Genomic DNA, 10,790 nt, shown 5'->3' with positions numbered 1-10,790 from the left:
ATAGGTTTTTAGGTTTTACATTTTTACAAGCAACAACCATTATTACATGTGGGTGTGCTGTTTTTGTTTTGTTGTTTTGTTTTCTGAGACAAGGTCTTGCTCTGTCACCCACAGGCTGGAGTGCAGTGACATGATCTCAGCTCATTGCAGCCTCAACCTCCCAGGCACAAGCGATCCTCCTGCCTCAGCCTCCTGAGTAGCTGGGATACAGGTGAGTGCCACCATGCCTGGCTAATTTTTTTTTTTTTTTTTGTAGAGTGGGGGGTCTCACCATGTTTCTCCAGCTGGTCTCAAACTCCTAGACTCAAGGAATTCTCCCACCTTGGTCTCCCAAAGTGCTGGGATTACAGGCATGAGCCACCACACCCAGCCACATATGGTATTTTAACCTCAAATCCCTGTGGGGTCTATTCAAATGGGCCTAACCAGGTAGGTTATGACCCCGTGAAGGAAGACCAAAGCGCCAGCACCACGATTGCTTCCCAGAGATCTTCAAGGCCCTTTTCAGACTTCTCTTCTTCTACGCCCCACAGGGCCTGAAATGCACTAGGGAGATCCTTCAAGGAAGCTGACCCTAAGTCAAACCACAGACAAAACACAAGAAAGCACTCCATCATATGTAGGTTTCAAGTCAAATTAGACGTAGCTAGTTGTCCAAACTGACCTGCGAAGTCACACAATGTGCACCAAATGACATGATTTAACTTAAGAGGAAAAATCTCATCTGTTCTCACAGAGAAAGTTCTAAACTGCATACAAAACTGTCTTCCACCTCATTTCCCAGGGGCATCTTCCAATGGAACAGGTGGAGCTCCTTCAACAACTCTGTGGTTTGAGGACTGACACAAGTTTCCTGCTTGTCCCAAAGTGTCCAACAGTGATTAGGTCCCATGTGACATAGCAAAATGCACAGAAGCAGGAAAAGTTAAAACTATTGAGAAATTCCAAAAACAAAAAATAAGACCAACCATCTCATCAATAGACAATCGTGATGAAAATTTCTTCTTCTTCGGCTGGGCGTGGTGGCTCACACCTGTAGTCCCAGCACTTTGGGAGGCCGAGGTGGGTGGATCATGAGGTCAAGAGATCAAGACCATGCTGGCTAACATGGTGAAAACCCATCTCTACTAAAAAGGCAAAAATTAGCTGGGCGTGATGGTGCATGCCTGTGGTCCCACCTACTCGGGAGACTGAGGCAGGAGAATCGCTTGAACCCAGGAGGAGGAGGTTGCAATGAGCAGAGATTGCGCCACTGCACTCCAGCCTAGCAACAGGGTGAGACTCCGTCTCAAAAAAAAAAAAAATTCTTTCTCCTCCTCCTCCTCCTTCTTCTTCTATCTCCTCCTCCTCCTTCTCCTCCTCCTCCTTCTCTTCCTTCTCCTCCTTCTCCTTCTCTTCCTTCTCCTTCTCCTCCTCCTTCTTTCTCCTCCTCCTTCTCCTCCTCCTCATCCTTCTCCTCCTTCTTCTTCTTTCTCCTCCTCCTCCTCTGCCTACTCCTCCTCCGCCTCCTCCTTCTCCTCCTCCTCCTCTGCCTCCTCCTCTGCTTACTCCTCCTCCGCCTCCTCCTTCTCCTCCTCCTCCTCCTCTGCCTACTCCTCCTTCTCCTCCTCCTTCTCCTCTTTCTTCTTTCTCCTCCTCCTCCTCCACCTCCTCTGCCTCCTCCTTCTCCTCCTCCTCCTTCTTCTTCTTTCTCCTCCTCCTCCTCCGCCTCCTCCTTCTTCTTTTCTCCCTTGGCTCCTTGAAACTCAAACATGTAAGGAGATAACCTCCTTCTTCCTCCCAGTCCCAGTGGGAGGATGAGGACCTATCTTCAGTGGAAGCTTTGCTCCAACACACCACTTCTCCCATTTAAGAAAGGAGAACTTTGTTTCTCCTCTGGATAAGCACTAACTAGCAAACCCAGATGGCCTAGAGAGGTGGATCAAACCTGTTTTTTCACCCTTCAGTGCTTTTCCCCTAGCACACTCCAACCTTGAAAAAGTCTCCTGCCTTTTGCTTTGGCAAAGCTCAGTTTAGTTCACGCTGGACTCTCTTCCCTGTTGCAAGTCATTACTGAATAAAATCTGTCCTTACCATTTTGACTAGTCTCCTGGCTTTCCTTATCTTTGACACTCTGAGTCAGAATTCACTGTCCTGGGGTGAAAACTGCAATTCTGCCAGCAGAATGCCACCTCTGGCAGAAAAGGGCAAGCAAAACACTCCAAATTCCCAGCAAAATTTAGAAATGTTCAGTAATGGCCTTACGTTTCACACATTTTTTTTTTTTTTTTGAGATAGAGTCTCACTCTGTCACCTAGGCCAGAGTGCACAGGTACGATCTCAGCTCACTGCAACCTCCGTCTCCCGGGTTCAAGCGATTCTCCTGCCTCAGCCTCCTAAGTAGTTGGGATTACAGGCGCCCGCCACCGCACCCAGCTAATTTTTATATTTTTAGTAGAGATGGGGTTTCGCCATGTTGGCCAAGCTGGTCTTGAACTCCTCGCCTCAGATGATCCACCAGCCTCAGCCTTCCAAAGTGTTGGGATTACAGGCATGAGCCACCCCGCCCGGCCTGTATTTTGTTTTTTTTTTAAATTACAGACGGTGACTCAATCTGCCCAGGCTGGAGTGCGGTGACCTGAACACAGCTCACTGAAGCCTTGACTTCCCGGGTTCAAGCAATTCTCCTGCCTCAGCCTCCCAAGGAGCTGGGACCACAGGTGTGTGCCACCACATCTGGCTAATTGTTTTTTATTTTTGGTAGAGAGAGGTCTCACTATGTTGTCAAGGCTGATGTCGAACTCCTGAGCTCAAGTGATCCTCCTGCCTCAGCCTCCCAAAGTGCTGGGATTACAGGCATGAGACACAGCGCCCGACTCACACACTTTTAAATTTTGTTCTCCGCCTGATATTTAGCTTTACGGCATAGAAGAAATGGTTTAACCCCCTTAGCGACATGGCAGCTCTATGCCCTTTATTGTTCTACTGCTAAAGGTCTTTGGGTTTCTGTTTCTCCTTTTTTTTTTCTTTTTAAGAAATGAAATTATTTTCTTTTACCTACGTAAAAAGAGTATACCTTGGCGGAGAGCGTGGCACGGCTCTACGCACCCCTCCCTGCCTGCCCAGCGCCTTCCACGCGGGAAACTCCCCGCCGGTCTCAGCTCCACCCCGCGCTGCCCCGCCGGCTCGGCAGCACTCGCAGCCGGCGATCCGCTGGTGCAGCTCCACGATCCGCCTGCCCATCCGCGCCGCCTCCGCGGCCTTCCTCTCCGCCTCGGCGCACAGCCTGGCCACCAGATCCTCCGCCTCCGCGCGCGGGCTGGGTGCTGGGGCCCGGGCGCCCTGCTCCTCCGCCTCCATCTCGCTCTTGATGGCGTCGAGCAGGCTCTGGATCTCCAGCAGCTCCCTGCGGGCCCGCTAGTGCGCCCGGGCACGCTCGCACTCCAGGGAGGCCAGGTCCTCGCCGCCCACGCGGGGCGCCGGGCCACCTGGGTCTTTGCGGGCTCTCGCCTGGTCCGTGTCCACGTCAGGCAGGAGAACAGGGTCTGGAGGTAGGGAACTTAAGGCAGATTCCTGCTGACTTCCTAAAGCTGAATCAAGGGAAAACACCAAGGTCTGGGGCAGAGAATCTGAGGCTGATTAACTCAAACTTCCCAAACCAAAAGGAAAAGCACCATCTCCCCATTGGGAGTAGTAAAGCATCAAAGGCTACTCTCCCTACAAGCCTCCTCCCAGATGGAAAGGGAGCGTGCCTTGGAGTGGCCAAGAGCCATGCAGGGACCGTCCCTTCATCCGCATAGGGCGCCAGTTCACCCCAGCCTTTAGCCACAAACCAAAACCTTCATCCACATAAGAGGTAGCTGGTAAGAACCTCAAATGAAGTACTTAAAGCCCAGAAAACTTTCTAACTGGCCCTTGAGCTGCTTGCTCGGGCCCGCTCCCACCCTGTGGGTGCTTTCTCGCTTTAAGAAATTGCTGCTTTCCCTGCTTCTGTTCCTGCGTTTCATTCCTTTGTTACTTTGTTTGTGCGTTTTGTTCAATGCTTTGTTCAAAAGGCCAAGGACCAGGACAACCCACTCAAGGCCCTCCTCACGGTAACGCAAGGCCACAGCGCCGCCGCCCCTTCCCGCCCCGGGCCAGCCGGGCACCCACCAGCCGTGCGCGGACACCTCGCTGTCACCCGCGACAAGTTCTTGAAGTTCCTTTTTAGTTTAGATAAAATTTTACTCTAAAACTTTCAGCCCTGAAACAGCGAAGGCCACACCCAAATGGCCTTCCCGCTGCCAGCCGCCGCGGGGCCTCCTCGAAGCTCCTTTCACGGCAGCTCCAGGTTGCCACGCGCCCACGGGGGTTTCGGGCGGGGTCCCGTATCGTGCAGGCGCCATGGCGCGCTCTCGTCCCCCTTCCCCCACGCGCCCTCGCCTGCGCGGGCTCTGGGGTGGAGTCTGAGAGGGATTCCAGGGTTGGGGTTTTAACACTCAGTTGCGAGTGATTTTTGCACCAGAAACGGAAGGTTGCACCGAATACCGTGACCCAGGGCCACGAAACCCACGGCTGCACCTCAAACCGTCCCCGCCTCGCCAGGGAACCGCTGGCTTGTCTCCGCCGGCCCGACACAGGCCAGGCGAGGTTTTTGGAAACAAAATTGTTACCAAACAGTGGCATTTCCCAGGACAGCTCTTTGAAGGTAGAATCTGTCCGCACGTCTCCGCCAGGGTTGGCTGCCCAGCAGGGGCTCGGTACATTTTGTTTACCCTAAAGAATGCTGTCTGGAGGGGGTAGAAGATATGTTAAGGCCGGGCACGGTGGCTCAGGCCTGTAATCCCAGCACTTTGGGACGCCGAGGTGGGCGGATCACCTGAAGTCCGGAGTTTGAGACTAGCCTGGCCAGCATGGTGAAACCCCGTCTCTACTAAACGTACACAAATTAGCTGGGGGTGGTGGCGCATGCCTGTAGTCCCAGCTACTCGGGAGGCTGAGGCAGGAGAATCGCTTGAACCCGGGAGGCGGAGGTTGCAGTGAGCTGAGATCCAGCCATTGCACTCCAGTCTGGGTGACTAGCCTGAGACTTTGTCTAAAAAAAAAAAAAAAAAGATACGTTTATATTCCTGGTCTGTGGCCCACAAACGGGCTAATGGTAAAGACTGGGGAGACCCTGCTTGCACAAGTGCCCCTGATTGGAAACTCAGTTCTCTAGGGGTGAAATGGAGCTGGTAGGCCCCTGTGACTGTGAGAGAAGTGAGAAAAAAAGGCATGACAGTGCATTGTACAGTTGCCAAAACACCAGGCAGAGGCAGGTGGCATCGCTACTATGACAGTCATTAGACTACACAGTGCATTCAGAGTCGTGTGGGAACTACATCCAATATTCGGACCCTGGCTTCACAACCTGCTGGCTGGGGGACTGAGGGCCAATCAGCCTGAGGGTAGCTCTCTTGGCCTGTGCCACCACCTGAACTTAGTGGAGTTGGGTACCATCACCTCTAGGGAGGTGTGGCAGGCAGAGTGACCCCCATAGAAGTCCACATCCTAATCCCTGGAACCTGTGATTGTGTTATAAATTATATGACATATTTTGTAATTACGAATATATCATATTACATGGCAAAATGGATTTTGCTCATGTAATTAAAGTTAAGGGTCTTAAGGAGAATGAATAGCCTGGATTATCCAGGTAGGCCCAGCCTAATCCTGAGTCCTTAAAGTGAAAAACGCTCCTAGGCTGGAGTCAGAGATAGAAAACGAAGGCAGAAGAGAGATTTGGCAGAAGAAATCCGTGCTATTCCAAGCAGGAGATGACTGGTCCTGCCTGTGCTGACTCTGAGATGTGGGGGGTTTGGACCCTAGCTTCACAGCTTTGTGGCTGGGGCGGGGCGGGGCGGGGGGTTGGACAATGAGGAGGATTTGACAAACCACTGCTGGTTTTGAGACACAGGTGGCCACATGAAAGGACAGGAGGGAGGCCTCCAGGAGCTAAATGTGGCCCCCAGCTGAAGCCCAGCCTGCAACCACAAGGAACTGGATTCTGCCAGCAACCTGAATGCACTTAGAAGCGGTTTCTCTCTGGAGCCTCCTGATAGGAGCCCAGCCAGCCAACACCTTGATTTTGGCCTTGTGAGACCTAGAGCAGAGAAACCTTCTAAGCCATTCGTGACTTCTGACCTTCAGGACTATGATGATAAATGTGTGTTATTTTGAGCTGTTAATTTGTGATAATTTGTTGTAGCAGCAGTTGAAAACTTGAAGCTTAGTCTGCAGAAAGTCTAAGGATGGATAAAAATGAATGAAGACCCTCAAAGCCGTGCCCCCACCTTATTATTCTCCTCTGGGTTCTCCTAACCCTAATTCTAACCCTATCTTCTTTTTTTTTTTTTATACTTTAAGTTCTAGGGTATGTGATCACAACTTGCAGGTTTGTTACATATGTATACACGTGCGATGTTGGTGTGCTGCACCCATTAACTCGTCATTTACATTAGGTATATCACCTAATGCTATCCCTCCCCTCTCCCCACCAACCCCACAATAGGCCCCAGTGTGTGATGTTCCCCTTCCTGTGTCCAAGTGTTCTCATTGTTCAATTCCCACCTATAAGTGAGAACATGCGGTGTTTGGTTTTTTGTCCTTGTGATAGTTTGTTGAGAATGATGGTTTCCAGTTTCATCCATGTCCCTACAAAGGACATGAACTCATCCTTTTTTATGGCTGCATAGTATTCCATGGTGTATATGTGCCACATTTTCTTAATCCAGTCTATCATTGATGGACATTTGGGTTGATTCCAAGTCTTTGCTGTTGTGAATAGTGCTGCAATAAACGTATGTGTGCATATGTCTTTATAGCAGCATGATTTATAATCCTTTGGGTATATACCCAGTAATGGGATTGCTGGGTCAAATGATATTTCTAGTTCTAGATCCTTGAGAAATAGCCACACTGTCTTCCACAATGGTTGAACTAGTTTATAGACCCACCAACAGTGTAAAGGTGTTCCTATTTCTCCACATCCTCTCCAGCACCTGTTGTTTCCTGACTTTTTAATGATCGCCATTCTAACCGGTGTGAGATGGTATCTCATTGTGGTTTTGATTTGCATTTCTCTGATGGCCAGTGATGATGAGCATTTTTTCATGTGTCTGTTGGCTGCATAAATGTCTTCTTTTGAGAAGTGTCTGTTCATATCCTTCGCCCACTTTTTGATGGGGTTGTTTGTTTTTTTCTTGTAAATTTGTTTGATTTCTTTGTAGATTCTGGATATTAGCTCTTTGTCAGATGAGTAGATTGCAAAAATTTTTTCCCATCCTGTAGGTTGCCTGTCCACTCTGATGGTAGTTTCTTTTGCTGTGCAGAAGCTCTTTAGTTTAATTAGATCCCATTTGTCAATTTTGGCTTTAGTTGCCATTGCTTTTGGTGTTTTAGACATGAAGTCCTTGCCTATGCCTATGTCCTGAATGGTATTGCCTAGGTTTTCTTCTAGGGTTTTTATGGTTTTAGGTCTAACATTTAAGTCTTTAATACATCTTGAATTAATTTTTGTATAAGGTGTAAGGGAGGGATCCAGTTTCAGCTTTCTCCATATGGCTAGCCAGTTTTCCCAGCACCATTTATTAAATAGGGAATCCTTTCGCCATTTCTTGTTTTTGTCAGGTTTGTCAACGATCAGATGGTTGTAGATGTGTGGTGTTATTTCTGAGGGCTCTGTTCTGTTCCATTGGTCTGTATCTCTGTTTTGGTACCAGTACCATGCTGTTTTGGTTACTGTAGCTTTGTAGTGTAGTTTGAAGTCAGGTAGCGTGATGCCTCCAGCTTTGTTCTTTTGGCTTAGGATTGACTTGGCAATGTGGGCTTTTTTTCTAACCCTATCTTTTTATACATTTTGGTGGATTCTCTTTAATATTTCCTCTAGAGTGTGTGTTGCAAATATCTTCTCCCAATTGAAGCTTGACTATTTTCTTTTAAATGGACTTTATTTTTTAGAACAGTTTTAGGTTTATAGAAAAATCGAGAAGATAGCACAGAATGCAGCTCAACTTTTCACTTTGATGATGGTTCCTTTGATTAGCACCATATTTTAGCTTAAAAATTGACTGCAAAAAAGTAAAATAAATTTATTATAGTAAAATATGCATAGTAGATTTACCATTTAACCATTTAAGGGTACAGTTCAGTGGCAGTAAGTCCATTCAAACTGTGCAACCATCACCACCATCTGCCTCAAGAACTTTTTCATCCTCCCAAACTGAAACTTTGTCCCCATTAAACATTAATTCCCCAATCCTCCCTCCCCCAGCCCCTGGCATCCACCATTCTACTTTCTGTCCCATGAATTGGACTGTTCTGGCTTCTTTAAAAATTGAGGTGAAATTAATGTAACATAATTACCCACTTTAAAGTGTACAATTAAGTGGTATTTAGTGTATTCACAATATTGTGTAACCACTAGCTCTCTCTAGTTTCAAAACTTTCTCATCTTTCTATAAAAATACCCAGTACTCAAGGCCAGGTGCGGTGGCTCACGCCTGTAATCCCAGCACTTTTAGAGGCCGAGGTGGGCCGATCACAAGGTCAGGAGTTCAGGACCAGACTGGCCAACGTGGTGAAACCCCGTCTCTACTTAAAATACAAAAATCAGCCAGTCGTGGTGGCGGGTGCCTATAATTCCAGCTACTTGGGAGGCTGAGGCAGGAGAATCGCTTGAACCTGGGAGGCGGAGGTTGCAGGGAGCCAAGATTGCATCATTGCACTCCAGCCTGGGCGACAGAGTGAGACTCCATCTCAAAAAAACAAAACAAAACAAAACCCAGTACTCATATAATAATCACTCCACATCCTGCCTCCCCTTACCCAATGGCCAATACTCATCTCCTTTCTGTCTCTGTGGATTTACCTGTCTGTACATATCATATGTGTTAGTCTGCTAGGGCTGCCGTAACAGAATACCACAGACTGGGTGTTTAAAACAACAAAAATCTACTTTCTCATGATTCTGGAGCCTGAAAGTTCAAGATCATGGTGCCAGCAGGGTTGGCTTCTCCTGAGGCCTCTCTCCCTGGCTTGAAGATGGCCTTTTCTTTTTCTTTCTTTCTTTCTTTCTTTTTTTTTTTTTTTAGACAAAGTCTGACTGTGTCACCCAGGCTGGAGTGCAGTGGTATGATCTTGGCTCACTGCAACCTCCGCCTCCCAGGTTCAAGCGATTCTCGTGCCTCAGCCTCCTGAGTACCTGGGACTACAGGCATGCCCCACCACACCAGCTAATTTTTGTATTTTAAGTAGAGACGGGGTTTCTCCATGTTGGCCAGGATGGTCTTGAACTCCTGACATCAGGTGATCTGCTGCCTCAGCCTCCCAAAGTGCTGGGATTACAGGCGTGAGCCACTGTGCCTGGCTATACTTTGTTAATTTTTATGGCTGAATAATATTTCTTTGTATGGCTATTCCGCAGTTTATGAATGAATGTTTATTCATTCATCAGTTGATTCTGTTGGTGGCCATTTGGGTTGTTTCTGCCTTTTGACTAGTATATGCTGCCATCAGCATTCATGTATAAGTTAAGATTTTAGTTTTGGTGAAGACAAAATATCAGTCTTTTCTGCTTTTTGCTTTTTGTCTTGTAAAGAAAGCCTTTCATGCTCTGAAGCCATACAAATTTTCCTTTAAGTTCTCTAAAGTATTTAGTTAGATAATTAGTTTTTTATATCTGTGGGTTACTCCATCTGAAAATAATTTTTTTGTGATGTTTGTGGCAGGGATCTAATTGCAGTTTCCCCCACATGTATAGCCATTTGTCCTAGCCCTACATGGTGACTGTTTTTGTTGTTGGTGGTGGTTTTTTTTTTTTTTTTTTTTTTTTGAGTCTTGCTGTGTCACCAGCCTGGTGAGATCTTGGCTCACTGCAATTTCCACCTCCCGGGTTCAAGCGATTCCCCTGCCTCAGCCTCCCAAGTAGCTGGGACTACAGGCATGTGCCACCATGCCCAGCTAATTTTTTGTATCTTAGTAGAGACGGAGTTTCACCACGTTGGCCAGGATGGTCTTGATCTGCTGACCTCGTGATCCGCCCGCCTCGGCCTCCCAAAGTGCTGGGATTACAGGCGTGAGCTACCGCGGTGGGCCCATGCTGACTGTTTTATCCATTCTTTCTGGGTTGCTGTGTAACGTGTGTCAGGTATCGTATGTCCATATTTGCTCATATCTGTATCTGGGCTGTATACTCTGTTCCACTGGTCTTTACCTATCTCTGGGCCATTACTCCATTGACTTAATTACTGTTAGCTTTATAATAAATATTAATATTTGGTAAAGTATAGCAAGGCCTCCCATCTGGTGCTACTGCAGGAATATCCTGGCTTTCTGCTTGTCCATCTAAATTTCAAATTTGTGAGTTCCCTGTGCTCCTCCCCACACCCACCAGACTCAAGAGATCTCCTGCCTCAGCCTCCAGAGTAGCTGGAATTACAGGTATTTGCCACCACATGCAGCTAATTTTTAAATTTTTTGTAGAGACTAGGTTTTGCCATGTTGCCCAGGCTGATCTTGAACTCCTGGGCTCAAGTGATATGCCTGCCTCCACCTCCCAAAGTGCTGGGATTACAAGTGTGAGCCATTATGCCCAGCCAAATTCATGGTTTTTATTTTTATTTTAGTTTTAGAGACAGGGCCTTGCTCTGTTGCCCAGGCTGGAGTGCAGTAGTGCAATCATAGCTCACTCCAGCCTGGAACTCCCAGGCTCAAGCAATCCTCCTGCCTCAGCCTCCTGAGTAGTTGGGACTACAGGCATGCACCACCACACACAGCTAATTTTTTTTTTTTTT

At 47.7% G+C, this 10,790-nt stretch overlaps 1 pseudogene, besides 1 other annotated feature; it reads right to left on the bottom strand.

Moving 5' to 3' along the window:
• Positions 1–3,001: 3,001 nt before the first annotated feature.
• On the bottom strand, positions 3,002–4,364 carry LOC124900840 (uncharacterized; annotated as a pseudogene).
• Positions 3,208–3,367: a silencer, noted in NCBI's record as "silent region_15234". NCBI's record gives its function as "represses an Ori minimal core promoter by ATAC-STARR-seq in GM12878 lymphoblastoid cells {active_cell/tissue: GM12878}" and the evidence as "EXISTENCE:reporter gene assay evidence [ECO:0000049][PMID:35858748]".
• Positions 4,365–10,790: the final 6,426 nt, after the last annotated feature.

Source organism: Homo sapiens, chromosome 4, assembly GCF_000001405.40.
Source record: "Homo sapiens chromosome 4, GRCh38.p14 Primary Assembly".
Lineage (NCBI taxonomy): Eukaryota > Metazoa > Chordata > Mammalia > Primates > Hominidae > Homo > Homo sapiens.
This window is presented reverse-complemented; position numbering and strand designations above follow the sequence as displayed.